Here is a 26378-nt window from a genome sequence, read left to right as displayed (position 1 = left end):
AAGTAATTACTGCTAGCTTTCTCCTTTCACTTTAAAATATGTTCCATTTTGGATAATAACTTATAGTCTTTTCATTTACATAGCTATTGTGAATGTTAAATGAGATGATCCGTAATCATGGAAAGGGCTTAGAGAAATATTGCTTATGAATATAAGATTATTATATTGTATATTATTCTAATATCAATAAAAGAATTGACAAGGGAAATCCAAAGAGCATGCATGCTTTAAATAGCATGGCCTTCCAAGATAGCTTCAAAATGTCTGTTGGCAAAAATCTGGTTACATCTTATCTAATATCTAAATACAGAAACAATGTTGTTCCATTTGTGGATCCACATTCCAAAAGTTTCAAACCACTATAGTAATGAAATGCAAACATAGAAAACAATGTTATTGGTAGAAATAGGTATAAAAGTTGTTCTTGGTCTTTCAGGCAAATATTTTAGGTGAACAGTAAGTTAGGTATTAGTCATAAGCTAACTGGATTTCGTTGTTGGATAAATACCCTCTCCATAAAGATGTAAAAGAGCCCAGATGGCCGCTCATTAATATAATGGATGCAGGTCTTGTACCCAACTGATAGGCACCGGTATACCTGTACTAATATTAAAATATTGGAAAACCCCAGGTGACTCTCACAATAATTACCTCAGCCCTACCCAAAAACCTTGGTCTCACCCAGGATCTAACAACTAAGAAGTTCAGTTGTGAGCCCAGTAGTGAGGCTCCAGAACTGAGTTCTAGTTTAAGACTGTCGTCTTTCTAATGGGAGGTATACCTATGCTGTTTACCTATGCTGTTAAGCACCTCCACTTGGCAAGAGGGAGTTGTTGCTTTCCAAAGCATGCTCAGTTAAAGGAACAGCGAGCCTCCCCTTTTCCTGTACCTTCATGAGCTGCCATTTAGTGCAAGTTCATATGGAGTCTGATCTAAATGTCTCTGGGCAAAGAAGAACAAATGGAGATCCTTGAAAAGGCTTTTTGTCATTTTCTTTGAGAGCATCTTTTTGGGGTACATAGAGTCTTCCAGATTTATGAGAATATTTTTATCAATAACCTTACCTAAAACACATAATGTATTTTTCAGGGTCATTGTGATGTCTCACTTATAAACATACTATATTAATTAGAGCAAAATAATTTTTACATTTCTCAATGACCTGAGTTTTATTTATGGAGCTTATAACAATAACTTTGTTTCTTTTTTTTTCTGTGAAATGATGTCCAAAATGAATCTCCTTTTTACATTTTTTTTATTTTTAATATTCATGGGTACATAGCAGGTGTGTATACACACACACACACACACACACACATATATATGGGGTACATAAGATATTTTGATACAGGTATGCAATGTGTAGTTATCACATCAGGATAAATGGGGTATCCATTGTCTCAAGGATTAATCCTTTTTGTTACAGACAGTCCAATTAGTCTCTTTTAGTTATTTTTAAATGTACAATAAATTATTGTTGACTGTAGTTAGCCTGTTGTGCTATCGAATACTCCATCCTATTTATTCTAACTGTATTTTTCTGCCCATCAGCCATCTCCACTTCCTCTCCAACCCCTCCTGCCACTACCCTCCCAGCTTCTGGTGACCATCATTCTATTGTCTATCTCCCTGAGTTCAATTGCTTTTATTTTTAGCTCCCATAAATGAGTGAGAACACATAAGTTTGTGTTTCTGTGCCTGGTTAATTTAAGTTGACATAATATCTTCCCGTTTCAACCATGTTGTGCAAATGACAGGATCGCATTCTTTTTAATGGCTGAATAGTTCTCCATTGTGTATATGTACCACATTTTCTTTATCTGTTTGTCTGTGGATGGACACTTGGATTCCTTTCAAATCTTGGCTGATGTGAATAATGCTGCTGTATACATGGGAGTGCAGATGACTCTTTAACATACTGATTTCCTTTCTTTTGCATATGTACCCAGCAATGGGATTGCTGGATCTTACGGTTGTTCTATTGTTAGTTTTTTGAGGAGCCTCCAAGCTGTTCTCCATAGTGGCTGTACTAATTTACATTCTCATCAATAGTATGGAAAGATTCCCTCTCCACATCCTCGCCAGCATTCGTTAGTGTCTGTTTTTTGGATAAAAGCCATTTTAACTGGGGTGAGATAATATCTTATTGTAGTTTTGATGATCAGTGATGTTGAACACCTTTATGTATATCTGTTTACCATTTGTTTGTCTTCTTTTGAAAAATGTCTATTCAGTCCAGGCACGGTGGCTCATGCCTGTAATCCCAGCACTTTGGGAGGCCGAGGCGGGCGGATCACGAGGTCAGGAGATCGAGACCATCCTGGCTAACATGGTGAAACCCCGTCTCTACCAAAAGTACAAAAAATTGGCCAGGCGTGGTGGTGGGCACCTGTAGTCCCAGCTACTCGGGAGGCTGAGGCAGGAGAATGGCATGAACCCAGGAGGCGGAGCTTGCAGTGAGCCAAGATTGCGCCACTGCACTCTAGCCTGGGCAACAGTGTAAGACTCTGTCTCAAAAAAAAAAAAAAAAAAATGTCTATTCAGCTTTGCTCACTTTAAAATTGGATTATTAGGTATTTTCCTATTGAGTTGTTTGAGCTCCTTATATATTCTGGTAATTAATCCTTTATTATGTGTATAGTCTGCAAATATTTTCTCCCATTCTGTGGGTTTTCTCTTCACTTTGTTGATTGTTTCCTTTGCGTGCAGAAACTTTTAAACTTGAGATGATCCCGTTTTTGCTTAGTGCTCATGGGGTACTACTCAAAAAATCCTTGCCTAGACCAGTGTCCTGAGAGTTTCCCTAATGTTTTATTTTAGTAGTTTCATAGTTTGAATCTTTTCTTTTGAAGAGACAAGTGAATAACAAGTGACACCGGCTACTGTATCAAGGGGATAACCATGCATTTCAAACTAGTAACATGAATAAGGTCAGGGTTGAAGCTGCTACAAGTAGCAGTAATGTGAAAAGCAGTGTATGAGAGAGTGTCCTGACTCTCCATAGGGATTTCTGTCAGATACCTACTGAGGGGATATAATAAAGGGGTTCGTCTGCTTCCAACCAAATGTGTCCAAGAGTCTTCTAGTTCCAGAGTGGTGATGAAATGCCTCATCTGTGGCAACACTCTGTCATTGTTTGCATTAGCAGCCTGAGTAACTCTGTATAAGAGTAACAAGCTCAGGCATTTAGAGAAGATCAAGGGTTTCAGAAGTGTGGAAAAACAAACCAAAACAAACGTTTTTCATGATATTCTCCTTCCATCATATTTTTATCATATTAAAATTAATATCTTTACTTTTATAGTTTCTAATGTAAATACAACTAAAATTAACATTGTCTTCTTTCATGAAAATGTACCACATTTTAGGCAGGTATATTTCAATTTGTTTTTACTAGTAGTGGATTATATTCAACTTTTTTTTTCTTTATCACTTGACATCATTTGTGGCCATTTTGTGCTGTGACTGCCTATCGCTGTCTACGTGTTATGATACCATTATCCATAAAAGGCAGTTTTTCCCCTCCTGCTTAATGATGCCCTCTCAGCTGATTCTGGCACTCAGTTAGGTCTTGCTCCTTTGAAACCATAGTTAGTATTGTCAGTCATACTCTGTGGTAGGCTAAGTAATGGCCCCATGAATGATGTGCTCATCCTAATCTTTAGAAACTATGAATGTCTTTTTTTTTTTTTTTTTTTTTTTTTTTAAAGACAAGAGTCTTGCTCTGTCACCCAGCTGGAGCGCAGTGGCACGACCTCGGCTCACTGCAACCTCCGCTTCCCAGGTTCAAGCAATTCTCCTTCCTCAGCCTCCTGAGTAGCTGGGATTATAGGTGCCTGCCCCACGCCTGGCTAATTTTTGTATTTTTAGTAGAGATGGGGTTTCACCATGTTGGTCAGGCTGGTCTCGATCTCCTGACCTTGTGATCTACCCACCATGGCCTCCAAAAGTGCTGAGTTTACAGGCATGAGACACCGTGCCAGGCCGAATGTCATCTTACATGGCAAAATTGACTTTGCAGATGTGAATAAATTTAAGCTCTTGAGATGGGAGAATTATCCTGGATTATCTGGGTGAGCCCTAAATGGAATCACAAGTGTACTTATCAAGAGAGAGGCTGAGAAACTGACACAGAAGAGAACGAAAAGACAACATGACCACAGAGGGAGAGATCGGAGGGAGGTGGTCTCAAGCCAAGAAATGAATAGAAGCTGGAAGAAGCAAGAAACAGATCCCCAAAGCCTCCAGAGGGACTGCAGCCCACCTCAACTTCAGTGTTAACTGATTTTATACTCCTGGTCTCTAGAAGTGTGAGAGAAAAAATTTTGTGTTTTAAGTCACCACGCCTGTAGTAATTAGTTACAACAATCACAGAAAACTAATATACACTGATTCAGAGATTATGCATGCATCGATTTAATACTCTTTCTTTTAGAAAATATAATTATCAACAAATGAGCATAGATACAGAAAAAGTACAAAAATCTTCAGTATGTATGACATACCACACTAGTTAGCAAAAGATACCATACTTGTCTAACTACCGTGCAGGCTGAAAAATATGTCTAGACCCTTTTTGTCACTCCGGTGACCGTCTCCTCCCTTCTCCCTGAATATAACCACCAGGATTACTTCTATGACCATAGATTACTTTTGCCTTTTTTTGAACTTTATGTAAATGGAATTGCATAGTATATGTTATTTTGTGTATGACTTATTTTGCTTAATGTCTTGAGAGATTCACTGGCATTTTTATATGTAGAAGTAATTAATTCTTTTTTATTGCATTGTAAGAAAAATGCAATAATTTATTTACCCAGTCCCCTGTTGATGGACATTCATACCATTTCCGTTTTAGAACTATCATGAATAAGACTGCTGTTAACATTTTACACACATCTTTTGGTATATAACTAGAAATTGAATTGTGGGGTCATTGGTATATATACATTCAAATTGAGTAGATAAAGCCAAACCATTTTCCAAAATGGTTATAGAAATTTATATTCCTTCCAAAAGTATATGATAATTCTAGTTGTTCTGTGTCTTTGATAAATCTTGGAAATAAACAGCTTTCTTTTTTACCATTATTTAAAAACAAAGTTTGAGCCGGTCATGTAACTATAGAGTAGTGTATCATAGTTTTCGTTTATATTCTCTGGATTATATTTGAACACTTTTCAGTTTGTTGGTCATTTAAATATCTTGTAAGACATTTATTTGAAGCATTGCCCATTTTATTTTAGTTTGTATTTTTTTAAATTAGTTTCTAGGAGTTTGTTACACATTCTCAGTATGAGCCCTTTATAGATTATATGTGCTTAGAAATCTTTTCTCATTATTTGTATTGCTTTTTCACCATATAATGGTAGTGTTATATAAATGAATATTCTAAATTGTAATGTATTCTAACAAATCATTCTTTTCTTTATGATTTGTACTTCTTTGCCCTATTTAAGAAACATTTGGCTATCACAAGACCACAAAGATTGTCTCCTATTTAATTCTCCAAGAGTTTTGCTGTATAACTTTATACTTAAACTTCTGATAGACTTGCCTTCCAGAAACAATATGCCAATTTATATTTGCACCAACCAAGAATATCTGTTACTCTGTACCCTCACTTATAGTGTTTATTTTCTTTCTTTTTGATCCTTCAGTTATGAAAAGGTGCATCATTATCTAATATATTCATTAATGCCCGTCTTTAAGAACATGTATTTTTATGCATATACATTTGTATGCATGAAATAGAGATAATGATAAAAGAAACTTATAGTTGATCAGTTTAAAAACAAAATATTAAGGATTTACAATTAAGGAAAAGTATTTTGTCAGCAATGGTGATTTTCTTTTTATGTAGCTGTCTACTCAGCAAAAGCATCGGAGTTTTACTAATGGCCACTGTTGCTAAAACTTAGTGTTGCTACTTGTTGGGTTTGAAATTGTAGGTGGAAAGCTGTGTGTAAATTATATAAAATGAAGTCAAAGTATATATTCTTGTATTCTTTTTATGCAGAACAGTAAAGAAGATTACTGTAGAAGATTAAGCAATTATCCACTCATGGTAGAATTAGGTAGACATACTTAAGGCTAAATTTAGAAACTTAGCTGCAAAATGATGTTTTGTATGACATTCAAAAGCTGGATTAAAAGGCAGTAAAATCTCTTGCGTTAAGAAACGTGTTGCTGTGAAACTTGAGGAGGGAAAGGGTGTTGAAGTGGGTTTATAAGAGATCTTATCATCTCTCCATGTTAGAGTCTGCGTTCGATTTAAAAGAGGGCATCCAAAGTGAGAAAAAGAATTTTTCTATCTAAATTTTATAACAAAATCACCATGAATAAAACCACCGTAAATTGAAAAATAAAACGAAAACATAGACTGAGAAGACTAGCTTCTATAAAATACATAGTTTGCATAAATAATATGTAGGAAAGAAACACTAAATTAAAATGAGATGAAAGAATGGAGAGAAAGATGCTCTCAAGAAAATTTTGGACTGGACTGTTTTGCTTATGTTTTCTAAAAATACTTGCTGGAGAAACAGAGTATAAATCCTTTGAAGAATAAAAACATCAAAAACTGGAAGAGGGATGGGACTAATAATTGTTTTATCCTTTTATAAAGAAGGCTAACTTTATTTTTTCAAATGTTGCTAGGAGAAGAAATGTTTAGCAGGGTGGAACATGGGGCACCATGACGTGACCTTCAGTGTTATTCAATGTCCAGCATATGTAGGCATGAAGGTGGTCAAGTTATCGTCTAGTAGATAGTATTTTTCCATTGCCAGATTTTATTTACTGTTTTGTACTAGATAGAGGAGGCAATTATTTACTATTGCACTATTTTTGTAGGTAGAGGACTACAATCAAGAGAGTATGTGACTTTCCTAAGGTCAAAAATTAGAGCTTGCAGTTCAGTTGTGAGACTAAAAGGAGGGAGCATAGTCCCAGTCAGAATCTCAAGGGAGACATGACTTGGAATAGTTTTCTCTTTATTGTCCTGAACTTTAGTTATTGGTGCTGATTTTCATTCTGAATATCTAATTACAGCAAACTAGACATACTCAAATTCAGATGTAGTTAAGTTTACATGCTTAACCATTATTCAGAAATTGCGTAACTAACTCTGAGACACTAGAATTAGTTGCATGTATAGCAAAGGAAATATCAGGAAAGAAGGAGCAGCATATTATACGTAAAATCTGAAAGCATTCAAAGTTTATGTTGGGGTAGGAGTTAGAGGTAGTTTTAGAAAATCTTGAAATCAGAAAAGACCAATGCTGGAAACGATCTTACTGATTATTTAGTTCAACCCCTTCATTTGCAGATGCTAAATTTGAGGCTGAATGAGATGATCTGCCTCAGAGTAAAAAGCTGATTGTATGAACAAGGTTGTTGTTGTGCCCCCTCTCTGTCTAGCGTATGCTTTCTACAATGACACCTTGCTTGTTTGTAGCCCCAGTGGCTCTTAACACCAGTTGCCACAGTCAGCCCTATATAGATTTCTTATTACTGGAAGATTTGCTGACAAATTATATTGTGGATTCATTGTCTGTCCTAAATGCTTCAAAAGCAAAATGAGGATGCCAAGCGAGTTTGTTACGTTTGGAAAGGGGAAAAAAAAACCTACTCAATGCCAATGTTGTTTAAGTATGTTCCTCTGTAGCTGGCAGAGAGTGCCAACAGTAATTACCAGTCCATAATACAATAAATGTGGAAAATGATAGTGTATCTTTAGGACATGTATAGCAATTTGACAAAGTAATATCTACCAAATCTAATGTTAAGAAATTTGGGCTTGTATTTGCGTGGCTGAATTAATGTTTATTTACCTGGAAATTTACTCTTATTGTATACTACAGTAACAAAACGAAGACACAGAAACACTTCTTCACCACTGAGCATTCGAGAGTGATCTATACCATTCTTTCATCAAATTTGCTCTGTGGTGAGTGACAAATACCCAAAATATGGCAGCACTAAATGCTGAGATGAATAATCCATTCTCTCCTTGTTTCTGTCTCCCTCATCCAAACTGGGTAGAAAATTGAAGGTCTTAGCCAGGTCAACCTAAACAGTTTTCTTTGAACAGGCACAGCCTTCCAGTCTCTCTAAACTATTCTGAAGTTTCCTGAAATAAATAATAAATTTTGTCCAGCACACTCAGACTTGTGGGGTAAATTAGTCTGAGGTTGTATCTAAAGTGTGTAAGAATGGACATGTACTCAGTATACAAAAGGAGTACTGGAGGGAGGTGTTACCGTGGAAAGAACTTTAGAGTTCAGCTTTCTGGAGTTCTAATCCTGGCTCTGCTGCTCTTCAGCTATAATTGATCAACACATACTTAACTCCTCTTAAGTGTAGTTTCTTTATGTATAAGATATGAAATACAGTGTATGCACGTCATAGTGCTGTTGCAAAGTTTAAATGTATGTAATTACAATTAGTTATCTTGGCACCAGTAAAATAGTGTATTATTAAATAAAGGTGAGCCATTTTCGTCATTTCTCACAGGAGAATCAGGACAGTCTTTATATAGATAGTAGTATCAATTAAGCCTTAAAAACATGGAAAAGGGGCTGGGCACGGTGGCTCACACCTGTAATCTCAGCACTTTGGGAGGCTGATATGGAAGGATTACTTGAGGCCAAGAGTTCTAGACCAGCTGAGCAAATAAACAAAAATTGGCCAGGCATGGTGTTGTGTGCCCGTAGTCCTAGGTACTCAGGAGGCTGAGGCGGGATGATCCCCTGAGCCCAGGAGTTAGAGGTTACAGTGAACTGTGATCGTGCAACTGCATTCCAGCCTGGGTGACAGAGTGAGACCTTGTCTCAAAAACAAACAAACATACAAACAACGAAAAGTTAGCAAAGCAAAAAAGGCACAGCAGACTAGTATGAATATGGCTGAGAAGCATGACATAGCATGATGTTTTCCAAACAATACAGATAGCTCTATTGTAGGTGCATAAAGATCAAGGAAAAAATACCAGGCATCAGGCTGAGGAGGTAGCAAGGGTCAGGTCATGAAGGGCTGTGTTTAACATATTTGTAGGCATGAAATTTTCCCTTTAGATGAGACATTTTTCTCCTAGGCACATAGACTACCCTTATGGGATACTTGAATGAATTTCAGAATATCAGTGACACCCTGAATTTGCATGAAATATTTTATGACTATGACCTATATGAAATTTTTGAGAAAAAGAAAGTCCATTGCATTTGCTACTTTCTTAAAGTAGGCATGACTTCTCAGAACTATTGGTTAAAAAACAGGAAGTCATTGAATTGATTTCAAATGGGACAGAGTGAAAATGTGTGAAAGCATGGTCATGTTTAGTGTTTGGGTGGTAAATTAATTCAGATAGAAGCACGAAGCTGATGTGAGAATTCCACATGCCTTGTAGGGTAGGGTCCTAGTCATTGTACTCCCAGCACACAGACTGCCCCTAGTGCCCATGGTTTTCCACCATTCAATAAATATTTGAACAAAGAAGGAAACTAAAGACAGGAAGAGCAAGTAGAAGGCTCATGCCATTTTCCATCAGAGATGACTAGAATTGATATGTGTCTAGAATTGAGTGATAATAGAAATGGAGAGAAAATGACAGATATGAGAGACATTTTAGAGGTAAAATCAGCAAGGCTCAGCAGCTGATTGGTAGGCTGGGAGGGAGGAATGGAGCATGATTTTATTGTTTGTAGGTTGAATATGGATGCTGGTGCCATTCGCTGCTTGTCTTTACAGGCATTTATCATATACTGCCTTGTATTCTAGTGTTGTGAGTATGCTGTCTCTCTCCTTGAAGATGGTTTTATTTTTAAAAAGTCTTAATACCCTCCATAGCAGTTGGCTTACTGATGTCCACCTAAGAAGTACTCAGGAAATGCACGTTTCAAAAAAAGTGAAAGATGACACAGAGGGTGTGATCAACTTCCCAGTATCTACAGAAATGTTTACCTTTTGTCTCCCATTTCCAAATTTCCTGTCAGTTTTAGCCTCACAATAGTTTTCAGTCTGCGTGAGGGAACAGTAGGGTTCTGGGAACTTTTCTTAGATTGAGTAAAAAGCTGAGCCATGTGGCTACCCTTTGTAAACAGTGGAGGGGGAGAGGTCGTATCAACAGGGTTGGGGAGGCCCTGCTGGAGATTCAACAAGAGCGGTTTCTCACTGATGAGTTCACACTTCTGGATTCTGCTTTCATTTGGAAAATTCTCCTCAAGCGGCGAGATCATGAACCCCCTGACAAAGGAAAGACATTTCACAAAGATACAAAGATTTAGAAGGACACTTCCATGGTGCTTGTGTTACACACCTTGAAAACTACTGCAGCAATGTGCTAACTCCTTAGCACATTTCATGCATTTTCTCAAAAAGACATGGTTCATTGATGGTCGAGTTTGCACTGACAGAGTAGAAAGGTGATGTATTGTGTTGGAAAGGGCAGTAGTTCTAGAGCCAGAAACACATCATTTTAATTTTCTCCCACTGGCCATTTTTACTTGTGTGACCTTGAGAAAGATAGATCTGACCTCTCTGAGGAATATTATTATTATTCCTTAAATATGAGAATAATGATCACAGTCAATATTTTCTGAGCAATGTAATGTACCTGGAACTGCTCTGCTTTAATTTATTAATTTACTTTATCTTAATTAGGAACCCATGAGATTGATAATATCATTACCCCCATTTTACAAGTAAGTAAACTGAGGTTCCAAGGAATTAAGTAACTTTGCTAGATGATAAAACAAGTAAGTGTCAAGCTCAGGGCCCACACTCTGAACCACTGTATACCAGGTAGGACTGTAATGAGGATAAATGTTAATTTATGTAAAATCTTAGAAAATATTATTGGACAAATGTTTGATTCAATATAATCATTAGTAATATTAATATGACAATTGGTCAGATAGGTTTTGCTGGGAGAACTGTTGGATCTCAGTTTATAGCATAACACTGGCACTGTCCAATACGTTTATTTTTAATAAGCAACTTACATATTTCGTATGTGCATTAAAATTTGAAGACTGCAGCTATACTCATGAAAAGTGATGGAGACCAAGTGCCTCAGCTGAGCATATTCTCATCCTCCATGGGGACAGGAGAGTGTGGACACTGGCACTTAAATTCAAAATGTGGGAAAGGTACCCATGATTCATCTGCAGTATTCTTATATATTTAATGGAGAAAATAATAAAACTTGGTTAATAACATTTTTGTAGAGAGTAAATGAGGTAGTGCTTGTAAACTCTTCTTAGACACTTTATAGGTACTTTGTATGTTCTCAGTAGGAATTAGGTAGTGTGTGGTAACTTAAATTAGGCAGACTGGGTAAAGAGTAAGAAAACTTTTCCTCTCATTTACTTTTGTGTTGTAATAAAAATTATTTTTCTTAGAATCTTGAGATATCATAATGGTTTTTATTGGTGCACTCATTATATTTCAATACAAATTAATATTAATTCAATAGATTTTTATTTAGCAGGATTAATTTAGAAAATAACTCTGGAGTAATGCCCTAAAGCTAGTGTACAATTATCCTGTTTAAAATTGAAACTCTTGTCTTTGCATGGCTAGACTACCAGTTGTGAGTGATAGCTATTATGCTCCAGGTGTTTCACACTTACTTTCTCATTCAATTAGCACAATGGTCCCATGAGATAGGTATTTTTTTCTTCATGCATGTGGGAACACTTAGGCACTAATAATTTAAGTAAGTTGCCTAAAGCCACACAGCTAGTCAGATGCAGTGCCAAGATTTTAGAATAGATTTGTCTTCAAAAGCCAGACTTTGTTCCAGGAAAATGCATTAAGCTAAAAAAAACAACACAAAGAAAAAGAGTCTCATTTTAATTTTTAATTTGTGCTTTAATTGATAGATAATACATAGAGTACATGTGATATTTTGTCACATGCATAGAATGTGTAATGATAGAGTCAGGTTATTTGGAATATCCATTATCTTGAGTACTTATCATTTGAATGTGTTGGAAACGATTCAGGTCCTCTCTTCTAGCTACTTTGAAATATGTAATACATTGTTGTTAACTACAGTCATCCTACTCTTCTATAGAGCATTAGAACTTATTACTTCTATCTAACTCTATGTTTGTATCCATTAACCAACTTCTCTTTATCTGCACCCCCACCCACACGCCCCTCCTAACCTCTAATTTCATGTTTTAGGCTAAATTGATTTTTGGACTGGAAATGTACTAACTTGAATTAATTTTACACCTGGATGTGAAAATATAATTTTGTTCTTTTCATATTCATTGTCGATGAAGTAACAAAGCTTGCAGAGTTTTAAAATTAGGGAATACAGTTTATATGTCTCTGATGAAAAGAAACAGAAAGACAGATTCTGCACTAGAACCCTGTTTATTTGCTCTTCTGATTGTATGGCATAATGTGGCTTGTTTGACTTAATCTTGTAAAGTTACTTAAATTGTTTAATGTTCAGTCCCTCAAATAACACCACCCCAGCTATCTATAACTCATTTTGCCTAGTAAAATGTGTTGCTTTTTGAGATTCAGGAATGAAAATGTCTGTAAGTCAGTGAAGTGAAGCTTCCCTCTGCATTAAAAAGGTGACCATGAGCTGTTAATACTTAGGTCAAACTGGATTTCTCATGGTTTCTCATTTCCTCTTTTAAGTGCGCCTTATTTCCACCAAAAGATTTTACTGAAAATTAAAAAGAAAGTCATGGCTAATGTTTGTCTCAATGGGGTAGCAGCATTTTGTAAAATAAATAAACTTTGAGTCTCATATTCTGCTATTCTTCTTGAAGTACATGCAAGAATGATAAATATTATGTTTCCAGAGCAAAAACAGCAAAGTGCAACACTGATCTCTTTTGAAAGCTTGAGTGATGCCATCTCCAAATACCATCACGTGAAATTTGGAAACAAATGGTTTCGCAGTCTAGCACAAAGGAAAGAGAAATGTCTTGGATATACATTGAAAAGCCATTGTGTATATGATAAGTCTTGGGCTTTCAAAGCTGCAGGAAACATGGTTGCATCCTTTGTGCTTCTCTTGAAAAGAATTAAAGGGTGGCTCTATTACTATGTAGAAGCCCACTCCCAAGGACTGTTTAAATCTCTGCTCCAGCCGCTGAGCACTGCAGAGTCACTGACCTTGTATTTTAGACAGTGTCAGAGGGAGAGAGACAAGAAAAAAGGAGAAAAGGGAGCTTCTGCGTAGAATGACTGACAAATGTGTTTAAAGTTAAATGAACATGTCTTCACTGTCCTCTGCAGTTCTGCAGACTTGTTTTTTTGTTTTGAAGCCAAATGTAGTAACTTGGCTAAACAATGAGTCACATTGAAATAAATAATATTTAGATAAAGTAGCTGTCTTTTTAGGAAAACATCTCCCCATCTCTTTGTTCATAAAGTCTGGGCCTTTAAATTTGAGGTTTTATGGTATATAGTTTATAATATTTTTCCTGTGTTCAAAAGAAAATGAGTTTAAGAATGCATCAAGTGAAAGCATAGTTCAAGAATTTTTGCTGGTGGGGAGAGCTGAGTTTTTAAATATCAAATAGTTTGTCTTACTGAAAGCTGTGGGTGGTCCTCCATCATTCTGAAGGAATCTAGAGATGGGGATTTTTTGCCAACATATAGCTGTTTTCCAGTTAGATGCTGATGTTTCTGTCATTGCCTAGTTCAGCATTTTATTAGGTGCAGTGCAGCTAGACTCCTGTATAAGAATATATGTAAATTACAGTGGTCTGCAAGGAAAGTTTGCATAGCCTGATTCTTGATCAAAGGGTAATTACAGTCCTTTTAACTGACAGGGCATTGAAATGAGCCCCCAGGATTATGAGAATATGTATAAGTTGCATTTTTGTCAAGACTTTTTTCTACATTTATTTATTACTATGCAGGCACACAATAGTTTAAGAATACAAAATATTTTTATTCTGCTTTACTCACTTAATATTGTATCATGAAGCAATCTTGCTCTCAAGAACTCTTCATTAAGCAGAATTATCTTTCTAGCAAACTTGTATGTGATCATGGCGGGTACTTGCTCGGATTTGTTTCATTGGCATCTGAAGTGACTTGGGAAAAATTCAACCCCTATGGTTTGACAGTCAAGAAATTTGGATCTTTCTGTGTTGGTTGGCTCCTTGTTTCTGCTGAGAAAACCCCACTCCATTCCGCTTCTTGATCAACCCTGAGACTTCTAATCATCCTTTGAATCTCCCACCTGAGGGTTTCTACGCAAACTTTTTCTACTCCCTGGAAAATGCTTATTTCTTTATTAGCTCAACTTTATCCTTCAGGTCAAAGTTTACATGATTGTTTCCACAGCCATGATGTAAAGCCCTTGTCTTAAACACTTACCCTCCCTTTTACTATACTTTGTGCATTTATTACTGTGATTTTAGTATAATATTGAGTGGCTTAGTTAATATTTATTGAATGGAGAAACAAGATCAAGTACTTCCTTCTGTCTAATATTTTTCTGTTATTTCCAGGAAGACTTAATTCTTCATTCTTTAATGCTCCTCAATTTTTGGAGTCATCTTTTTACACTGCAGTTGCTCGTGTACCTCCACTTTAGACTCTCCTGTTTGAAAGAGAGACCAAATTTTTGCATATTTTTACCTAGCTCCTGGCATTTACCATCGCGCTCTCTCTCTCTCGCTCTTTTTTTTTTTTTTTTTTTTTTTTTCCTGGAGACAGGTGCTCTGTCACCTAGGCTGGAGTGCAGTGGTGCAATCACAGCTCGCTGCAGCTTCTACCTCCCATGCTCAAGTGATCCTCCTACCTCAGTCTCCTGAGTAGCTGGGACTACAGGTGCATGCCACCAAGCCTGCAGATTTTTGTATTTTTTGTAGAGACATGGTCTTGCCATGTTGCCCAGGCTAGTCTCTAATTCCTGGGGTCAAGTGATTCACCCGCTATTGCCTCCCATAATGTTCGGATTACAGGCATGAGCTACCACACCTGGCCTTTTTACCATCTATTGAATGAATGAATAAATATATGTCTCAAAGAATATTTCTGTTTTGTATACAGCCTGCTGTGTTATGTATAAACACAAGCAGTATGTCATAGAGAGCTGTGGGCTGTGTTATGTATAAACACAAGCATTGTGTTATAGAGAGCTATGGGCTGTGTTCAGAACTTTATGAGGGTGAGAGGGACAAGAGACTTCACTAAGCACATAGGATCTCCTATTCTTGCTATAATTAAGTGTGCTGACTAAAAGTACCCACTGGAAGCCCACAATATGGTCAAGGGAGTTTTATTGAAAGCATCCAAATCCAGCAAATAGTATAAATTTTGTGAAAGACTAGTGTTAAATGTTGCTTTAAGACTCTTTCCATATGTGGTTCCAGTGTGGTCACTTAAGGGATGTGCTTGGGGAATGGCGTCTATTAGATTCTCGGTGTTCTGGGGTTTTGCTGACATGATATACCATGTCAGGTCATCATCCTTCCCCAATGCACACACATTGGTCTGAAATATTGACTGTCTTTATATTTCTGTCCCACCATCCAAGGACTTTGCTATAAATGTTTTAAAATATATCCCTACAAGTCTTATTGTTTGTGAATGACCTTTAACACTTGTTTCCATATTGAATATAGCCTGCTTTTATGACTTTAGCACATGAGAAAATGTTTTCCGTATCTTAACATTTTTACACAAAAAAAATTTTTAATGACAGTGTAATAGTTTATTTAGCAGAGGTACACTTATTTACCCTGAGCTCCAGCTGATACCACATTTCTCTTCTGTGCCCACTTTTTTCTCTGTCTGTTGTCAGGTATCTGCTTTTGTTTTGTTAACCATCCTGGAACCACTGTTCTTGAACACCTTGCCTCAAAGTAAAGCTTTTTCAGAAGTGCCAAGAGGTCTAGAAAGCAGGTGTCAGATGAAGTGTTTCCTCCTCTACAAGTTTATCTGCCTTGTTTATATCTCAAGTGGACACTCTGAAACTGAGGCCTTCCTAGAAGTATGAATATCATTGATACTGATAGCTCATCTGTGTTGTCCTTATATAGATTAGTGATAAGTTCAGATTTTATTCTACTTTTTAGAAGTAAGTTACTGCCAGTTCAGTCTCTCATGACATCTGAGATATTCCCTAATTGTGTATTCTTCCTACCCTGAGATAGAATCCAGACAGTACTTACCATACAAGGAACAAAAGATTGGCCATGTCTTCCAAGTGAGCTTAGAGAAAGGGAAGTCAGAGTTTAGAATTCTCTATTTAATTGAATTACACAACACAAGTAAAATATGTTTTTTGTAGGTGATAAGGTGTGGCTCTGTGTCCCCACTGAAATCTCATCTCAGTTGTAATCATCACGTGTCAAGGGAGAGAACTGGTGGGAGGTAATTGGATCATGGGGGCGGTTTTGCTCATGCTATTCTCAGTGAGGGGGTTCTCAGGAAAGCTGATGGTTTTAAGTGTTGCACTTTCTTGCTCTTTCTCTTTCTCTTGCCACCATGTAAGAGGAGCTTTGCTTTCCCTTTGCCATTCACCATGATTGTAAGTTTCCTGAGGCCTCCACAGCCATGTGAAACTGTGAGACAATTAAACCTCTTGTATATGAATTGCCCAGTCCCAAGTACTATCTTTGTAGCAGTGTGAAAATGGACTAATATAGTAGGGGAACAAGATAGCCTTGCTTTTGGTTTAGCTTCATTTTTCTAGAAAATACACAGTTGTATTACTGTGGCTATGTTTCTAAGATTGGTTTTTACATAGACCCCTTTTTCCTACAAGATGTATAGTAATATGAAGGATTACATTAGCTTTACAGATATCCCACAACAATAGATAATATGTGTAAGCAGTGAAAAAGGAATTATTTTTATAGACATTTTGTTGCTATACAGAACATTAGAGATTATTCTGGTTCCAAAATATTCTCATTCTTTTTTTATATTGTAGATGCAGGACCTAAGGGGAGTGCTCTGGAGGGTGGTGTTGGGGTAAACCCTGTACCAGCAAAAGGTGAAACTAAAAATTTAACCTTGGTCTACTATTTCCAAAGCCAAGCCTTTTGCCTTCCCCAGCCATACACACCCTACTTTTTAATAGTGATAAAGTATTAATATTTCATGTAAACCATGATTTTCTGAAATTTGATGGCATTTTTTCCATTTGATTGGTTTATGCTCATATTTTTAATTCACCATGATTAAAAATAATAAAAATCAATATAGCAAACAAAAAAATGGTAGAATGTGAATGAACAAAGACCTGTGTTTCATGTTTAGAGTCAATTTCCACTTGAAAACTGTACAGAAACAAGGTAGGTTTCAGCAAGTCATAGTGTAGTCCCCTACCCCACAATCCAGGACATTGTAGACCATTTCAGATGACCTTCCAGGCAGCCTTCAAGAGAAAAGAAAACCAAGGAGGGAAAGGAGCAAATTTATCAGCGAACCTGAGACCTGACTTTGTCTAAAGGATCGAGAAAGCTTTTATGAGACAGCCCTGTTTAAATTACATCAAAACTATTGGTCACATTATAAGTAGGAATTAGAAAAAGGCAGGAAGAATTTTATAAGCAAGAGGAACAACATGTACAAAGGTCCTGAGGCCAAAAAGGAGCAAGGCAAGTTTGAAGTTTTAAAAAGAAGGCCAGCAGAGCAAGAACAAAGAATAGGCCAACAGTGATGATTAAGATTTGTGGTAAGGTAATCTGGAACTAGATCATAGGAGGCCTGGAGGGCCATGTTAACCCTTTCCTGTTTGCCCCAATAATCCTTGCAGCTGCAGCATTTACCCCAAGGTAACTTTGCCACAAAATATCTCGCTTTCATTATTATTTTCGCATCACTCTAGTATATCGACTTAGGAAACAAAAGACTTATTCTATTTATAGTATTCTGTTTTTAGTAGTGGTATTTCAATTCACAAAATACGGTAATTCTCGATTCCTGAAAATGTCAAATCCCAGAAAACTTAGCATTCCTATGTGTTAACATCTTCTTGAACAGTTGTTGGCCAAAGATTGATTTGATTAATCCGACGTTTGTGAAATAGATGATTCTGAAGATTCAGATGATTCTGATGCTAGTTCTGTGTAGAAATAACTGCAAGAACAGTTTTATATTTTATTTCATAGTGAAAATCAGTCAGACTTGCTTCAGCCCCAAACAGTGCGTTTATGAAAAATTAAAGGAGCACTGACAGCATGCTCCACTTTTTGTTCTAAATGGGAAAGGGTTAAAATTTTGAAATTTTTACTAAAACTAATAGAAAACCATTCAAGGTAATTAAGAGGTTGCTTAAAAGTAGAGCAGCCATATAATTTAACTTCCAAAACATGAATCTTTTGAGAATGAAAGAGGGCACTAGTGATAATTATGCTGGGGAAATGGGCACAATCTGGGGCTGTCTGGGGCAAACCAGGGCGAGAATCATTGTTTCAAGACACCTGTGCATTTGCAAATCTTCCCTCTGATGCAATGCGTGGGAGATACATTCTGTGTTCACTGCTGTCTGTCTGTTTTTGTTTGTTTGTTTGTTTGTTTGTTTGTTTGTTTTTGAGATGGAGTCTCCCTCTGTTGCTCAGCTTGGAATGCAGTGGCATGATCTCTGCTCTCTGCAATCTCCGCCTCACAGGTTCAAGCAATTCTCCTGCCTCAGCCTCCCGAGTAGCTGGGATTACAGATGCCTGCCACCATGCCCGGCTAATTTTTGTATTTTTGGTAGAGATGGGGTTTCACCATGTTGGCCAGGCTTGTCTCAAACTCCTGACCTCAGGTGATCCACCTGTCTCAGCCTCCCAAAGTGCTGGGATTACAGGCGTGAGCCACCGCGCCCAGCACTGCTGTCATTCTTTAGCTGGGTTCCCTGCGTATAGTTGTTTCCTCATTCCTTCTTTAATCCATTTGGCATTTTGCTTCCATTTATCCCATCATGCCTGTCAAAAAGCAAAGAAAAGGGGAACCTTCTGTCTTCTACATGAAGCTGTGTCTGTGCCCTTGATGAAGCTATGTCTGATACCATTTTCATGCTGCCTCTCACACCTTTTTTAATGCTTTAGTGAGAAGAGCATCACTGAGATGTTGATAGTTCTCGAGTTGTTTAGAGTATGGTATCTACTCGTCCCCGACTGGCAAAGAAAATTTGGGAAGCTGAGGCATTTCTTATACTACATTTGATACTATGCAGACCCATGTCCAGAGCAAGAACATGAAAGAAACCCAACTAGTAACTGTCGAAGTTGTCAGTCTGATTAGAAAAGCAAGAGGTCATCTGATTGAGTTCACAGATTAAGGACTGGCTTTGCTTTGAATCCTGAAATCTTGCCTCTTTTAGTCTTTACTGTGTGATCTTGGGTAGATTGCTCAAATTTGCTCAATTTTAATTCCTTTGTGTGTGGGACTAGAGTAATATTAGAACCGAATGCAAAGACTTTGAATGGAAATTGTGTGAACTAAGTTTATAAAGCACCTAGAACACTTGCTGCTACTGGTAAGCCCACAAGTGGCTGCTATTTGGGGCTATTATTTTTGAGCAAATATGGTTTTAATAACATGCCCTCTGGTCTCTATTGTCTTTGTTCACATTAGGAATTAGTAGCTGTAGTTTCAGTCCGCTGAAGTTTCACTGCTCTTTATTTTTTTTTCTAAACAGACAGGTGAAATTCACTTTCTAATCCAGTTTCAAAACAATAAGCCTCAGGGAGAGGATGGGTCACTTGAGCCCACTCTGCTTAAAATTCTTCTGAGATAAGACATTCAAAAGAGGAAATTATCCTGTCAGTAGCAATATCTCTGAAGTAAAAGATATCCTACAGATTTACTTTGAAATCTGTAGATGTGCATTCTGCCTGAGATCTGAGGTTTATGATGAGAAGAATGTTTTGATGGACTAGCCAAACAGAATAACAGAATGTTAGGTAAGCAGTGAAATAGTAATTAGGACATGGTATCTTCGTTATTTCTATCCTCTTATTTCAGCAAAGTGTCTAGCCTGCTGGGATAAGGGCTCAATAAATGTATATTGAACAAATTAATAACACATCATGAATTTTAAATTCATGAGTAGTTACTGCATATGCTTCTAATCTAGGGACTCCTGGGAATTGATTTTCAATCAAGGAGTCTTTTACCTATTTTTGAATTTTATAAAAGGCTGAAGACAATGTAGTATTCTGAATGAATGAGTTACCCTACTGTGTAGTTTGACAGGTATACAATTGGCACTCTGAATTGTAGGTATCACATCCATGGATTCAGCCAACCACTGATGAGAAATATTCAGAAAAAAATAAAAAATAACAATACTACAGTAAAAATAATACACATTTTAAAAGCAATACAGTATAACAACTATTTACATAGCATTAACATTGTATTGGGTATTTTATGTAATCTGGAGATGATTTAAAGTATAGGGAGGATGTGGGTAGGTTATATGCAAATACTCTGGCCTTTTGAAGCAGAGATTTGAGCATCCTGGATTTTGCTATCTGTAGGGTATCCTGGAACCAATCTTCCACAGATGCCAAGGGACAACTATAAAATAAAACCCTAAACTCTCTACCTTCCTTTATCAAGTTCACATTTTTGAGTGCATGAATGAGATTCTTCGTGACTTAGTTAACTCAAAAATATTAAGATCACTGACTGGCTTAACAGAGAACAAACGTTTGTTCTTATATGAATAGTAATAGAGTGTTATTGATGGACATAATATGTTACTGTATTTTGAACTATATTATAATTGCTGTAACAATATATTGACTATACTTAGGTAGCTCCAGAAGCTTCTGTTGGCAGGGCTTAGATTTTGGGGAAACCTATTGTTCTTCCAGCTTTGGTTAAATTCTCAAAGCTTCACAGTGGTTTCTATTACAAAGAAAAGTTCATGTAGATACATGAATTTTAGGTAAGCATATTGTGCAGCAAATTTTACCCCAGGGAACATTGGCATAGAAGACATTACAGTAATTTTCCATCATGGAGCTCTACAATAATGTAGATTGTAGAAAACAAACATGCATAATTTTTTTTAATGCTGTTTCCTGGGAGATTTTCCCAGGGGCCAGGAGACCTATGCTGCCCTTTGTGGAGCCACTGCATTTTCTAATACTACATACTCTCAGCCAGAGTCCCTTATTCGTTAATTGAGCATGTCCTGAGAAACAACACAAATAGCTGTACCTCATATGCTTCAAAAAGGATGACATCATTGTGAGGTTAAAGGAATGACAATGCCATTCTTTGCCTTGTTTAGATGATGGACTAGTAATTGTAATGTTTTTCTCTCACTGTAGCCAAATCATTACATCAGTCACTTTCTATAACCGTGGCCAATTCACTGGATCATTCATTTACTTAAATTGGATCTATGTGAAACCAAATGATAGATTCTTGGGTCATTCTTTTTATAAATAAAATTCTCATTGCTTTGAGCTCATCTCTATGTTCTAAAAAAAAAAAATGGTCGTTTCTCTCCCCAAGTCGTATAGTTCAATTATGACTACTAACAGCAATTTAAATAGCATTTTAACAAAATAGCCTAGGCTTTTTACAACAAGGGCACTTCTGAAGTAAATCTCCCTGGTTAACAGCTGTCAACTATCAGTAAGCCATAGGTAATTAAATTTGAAGATGCTTTATGGCTCGGAAAACTAGATAAAAATCCCTGGACCAGAAAGGTCTTAAGTTGATGTAGCTATTGCTCCCTGCAGTATTTGAATTAATGCGATAGATTGACGATTTTCTTTTCTTTTCTTTCTTTCTTTTTTTTTTAGACAGAGTCTCACTCTGTCACCCCAGGCTGGAGTGCAATGGCGTGATCTTGGCTCACTGCAACCTCCGCCTCCCAGGTTCAAGTGATTCTCCTGCCTCTGCAGGAGAATTGAGGCTGTCCTGCCTTAGCCTCCTGAGTAGCTGGGATTACATGCGTCTGCCACCATGCCCAGCTAATTTTTGTATTTTTAGTAGAGATGGGGTTTCACCATGTTGGTCAGTGTAGTCTCGATCTCCTGACCTCGTGATCCACCTGCCTCTGCCTCCCAAAGTGCTGGGATTACAGGCATGAGCCACCGTGCCAGGCCTGGATTGACGATTTTCTAATGAAACAGGCAAGGAGGAGAACTGCAATTGTTTGCTTGTTACTTGCACATAAAATTTAGTTGAGCCTATTTTCCCAGCTAAGATCACACTCTTGGTTTTATTTCAGTACAGATTAGAAAAAGAAAGGGAAAAGAAAAAAATAATGGTTTGGAAAAAACATCAAAACTAAACTTTCTTCATGATAGAAAGTGTGAGAAAGTCGTGATGGGGGTTTGTGGACCCTCAAAAGATAATATCAGTTAGTATTTATTTCTACAGCAGAAAAAGAAAACCTCAATTCAAGGTGCCTAAAAACTGCAAGGATTTCTTTTTATTTCATATAACAGAATATTCCAGTAATAATGGAGTTCCGGTTAATTCAGTAACTCAATGATTTCTTAAAAGATCCAGATTTTTTTCTACATTTCTGCTTGCCATTCTCAGCAAGGAACTTTCTTGGTAGATGCAATTGCTGCAATCATCATGTGCTCACATACCAATGTCCAGAGGCAGAAAAAGAAATCACCTCTTCTTTTGTGTGTGCCAGTTTTTAAGACTCAATAAGCCTTTTTCAGTAGCCGTGCAGAAGGCCTCCCTCCAGAGTTCACTGGCTAAAGTTGTTCATATGGCCGTATTTAAAACACTCACTGGCTAGAAGAATGGGGCCAGTATGGTTGTCATTGAACAGCCCTGTCAAGGTGGAAGAAAAGAATAGTATCTAATTAGATAGATAATCTACAGTGTCTCCTCATGAAAGGAGCATATATTGATCCTCTACTGTGGGCTGGTGGAACATACTTTGAGTTCAGTATTATTATTGCCAATGTATAGATGAGGAAATTAAAACAGAAATGAGCTAGTTTTCCCAAAATAATATACTTAGTAAGTGATGAAACTGAAATTCAACTCAGAACTGTGACACCAGTTGAGTACTCTCTTCACAATGTCAAACTGTTTCCTATACATCATGAATCACCTTCTGGCTCCCTTTTTGTTTCTAACAACCAAGTCATCTCTATGCTTTGCTTTGCTTTGCTTTTTAGATATACTCTTCCCCAGAGAGTGTATCTACTCTCAGAATTCCATATAATCATCCATGAAAATAACTGAACATCTCTACCTGAAGATTTGCTACTTCTAATGACAAAATTAAATTAATTATCTAATTCTACATTCTTGTGGAACATTTCTGCTTTGATTTGAATGTAATTTAATCTGTCCATACCTAAGTACTTTCTCTACCAAATATATCTCCTTTTCAGATCTCCCAAAAGTAGTAAGGGCATATTCATTTCTCCTATACTTAGCTTACAATGTTAAGGGGAATTTACGCCAATCTTTCCTCTACCCCTAGCCAAAACCTACATAAAATCATTCCAAATTCTTTGTTTTAGGCATTTCTCACATCAATTTTTCTTTTCCATTTTAGCATATCAGGTGTTCATCAATATACTATCTCAACTACTAGAACAATGTCTTTTAGTCTTTTCAGCTTATATACTTTAAAAATTACCCTGCATACTCAAATTATTTTCCTTAACAATGCCTTATTTTATTATTGTGTTCTCCTGATTAATTTGAGTAGATGCTACTTGTAAAAAAATTGAATATATTAATATTAACTCTAAATTAGGCATTCTAGTCATTTTTATCCTCCCTGCATAAGAAATTGTTCTGACTTTGCTTGCTGAAGATTGATGTCTTGCCCCAAGTTATAATAATAGGTAACCCATGTAACCAGCATCAGTATAGCTCCGGGACTCTTTTAAAAACTTTATGTATATTAAACTTGACAACAGTTTAAACTTCACAACAACCCAATGAGGTAGATGCTATTATTATACTGATTTTAAAGATAAGGACACTAGAGTTCAGAGAGATAAAGGCCCTTGCCAAGTACATCTAGAAGTGAAATGGTAGAGCCAGAATCCAGACTCCAGTGGTTGAACCCCAGAGGCCATGAACTCAGTTATATTTTACTGCGCTAGTCTGTGTATGTCACTCCACAATTATTTATTAAGAGGTATTTGTTGAATGTGTATTCCAGCAGCCCAAGCAATATCTTACCCCTGGTGTTTTACAGAAGACTTACACAACCATGAATCATAGCCCTGAGATAAAAGTAAGCGTTATAAAACACCTGGATTTTAGACAGAATCAAGGCAGTCTGTGTCCTCTCCAACCTTTGAGTGATACTTGCTTTGATTCTATATTCTCTCCCATGTTCTCAGCTCTTGGATTTTTTTCTATTAGCCCTAACCTCTAGTCTGGCATGGGCTGATTTTTTCCTGAAAGACTTCCCTCTCCCCTTACGTGCTCTCCTCATGAAGGAAGCTGTTTCAGTTTTTGGGCTGTGGCACCACCTGCCAGCTGTGTCACCTCTCTGTCCATGATTCCTAGGGAGACTCAGTAACTGGAAGGTTATCAGGCTGCACCATGCTCAGCACCCAAGCCCCCTGTTTCCAAAGACCTTTCACCCAGGCCCTTGTTATTAATGACCTGTCTTTTGTTCTTGTATGCTGTCATGATCTTACATTTTAAGATTCTTCTGAAATATTTTTCTAACCTCTTGATTGTTTTTTCCAACATAAAAAATCCTGTATTTTACTATTGTTGTATGAACAGTAAATTTGAGGCTATAAGATTATGTCCTAATAATTTTAGGGATTTAGCTCCCTAAATTTTAAAAAGTAGGAAAACATACATCTATTTTATCTAAATTCATGTTTTTCTTAAAAATCATGATCCAAACTTAATAACAGTAATTAGAATTTATTGAATACTATCTCTTGTCACTCATTTCACGTATTTATATGTGTCAATTAAATTGATTTCCATGGGAACTCTTGGCAGAAGTTACTATTATTGTTGCATTTTACAAATGAGGAAATTAAAGCACAGAGAGGTTAAGTAACTTGTTCAGTTTCACAGGAAGTTTGGCAACAGAACCTGGTTTCATTATCACTCTGCTTCTTCCAGGGCATTTTCAGATTATTGGCTGAAACTACTTGCAGGATATTATGGCAGACATTCTGAACAAATGTGCCCAGAAAATAGGTTAAATTTGTGACTTCTGTATCTTCTCATATGGGCTATGGCCCAAGTACTCATGGAATATAGTCCATGACTTCCTATAAGAATTTGTATCATTTTGATTTCGGTTTAAGTCAAACTACAGCTCTATCAGAATTTTTAGAAATGTGTTTGTCATTCAATGCCTAAAAATCTAGAAACAGTTCATCATGGAAGCAGTCATCCCAGAAAGCAGACTCTTTCTTAGAGTTTGTCATTCTTCAGATTATAATCAAAAGAACAAATAAATCCTGAACCATTTGAATAGAAAAGTCTAAAGTTATGCTCCTTGAGAGGAGCATTTTGACCAGAGAATGTATCATGAATGTCACGATACGTTGATTGTCTTCAAAGGCCAGCCATACAGGCAGTTAGGCAATGTGGAAGAAGTTAAATGAGTGTGAGTCACTAACCTCTGAGGATCCTGGAAATATGAACATTTAGATACCTGAAAATTCATATATTTTCCTTAGATATATGAATAGTTATGCTGCTAAAAATAACATTGCCTCCTGAAAATACGTCTACTTTCAAGTAATTTATAGAAAAATAAGTCGGACTAATTAGAATTACGTTGGGAAGCAAGGCAAATATTTGTAGTAGGAAATAACAATCCTAAAATGATGAATAAATAGAGTCCAAAAATAAAACATTAATAGAGGATAAGAAGACAATCACACTGCTGTTGGTTTTGTTTTCTGTTCAATCTGCTCACTGTATTTTTTTTGGTTTATTTATTTTAACTTGTTTTGAGCTGATGATGTCCAGTAATAAAACAGAGTTGAGATTATTGCAAACGTGACTGATTTTGTAATCACATACTATTACCATAAACTTTAACATTGCACTTAGTGGTTTATGTTTTACTTCAGTACAAATATAAATTAAAATGCCCATTAACATAACTTTTTTTTTTGAGGCAGTGTCTCGTTCTGTTGCCAGAGCTGGCGTGCAGTAGCATGATCATAGCTCACTGTAACCTCAATTTCCTAGGCTCAAGAGATCCTCCCACCTCAGCCTCCAAAGTATCTGGGACTAAAGACACATACCACCATGCCCAGTTAATTTTCTAAAACAATTTTTGTTGAGACAAGGTCTCACTATGTTGCTCAGGCTGGCCTTGAACCCCTGGCTTCAGGTGACCATCATACCTTTGCCTCCCAAAGTGCTGAGATTACAGGGAACTAGCCCATAACTCTATTTTAAAATTAATTTCTTACTGTAGAAGAAAATGTACCTTGACATTTTTT

At 36.8% G+C, this 26378-nt stretch overlaps 1 protein-coding gene across 3 annotated transcripts in view; it reads left to right on the top strand.

The window, feature by feature from the left end:
* Window positions 1-26378, top strand: part of SEMA3C (semaphorin 3C) — a 179852-nt gene that overhangs the window by 67179 nt on the left and 86295 nt on the right. The window lies entirely within an intron of this gene.

This window comes from Homo sapiens, chromosome 7, assembly GCF_000001405.40.
Source record: "Homo sapiens chromosome 7, GRCh38.p14 Primary Assembly".
Lineage (NCBI taxonomy): Eukaryota > Metazoa > Chordata > Mammalia > Primates > Hominidae > Homo > Homo sapiens.
Note: the sequence above shows the minus strand (reverse complement) of the source record. Positions and strands in the feature narration are given on the sequence as shown.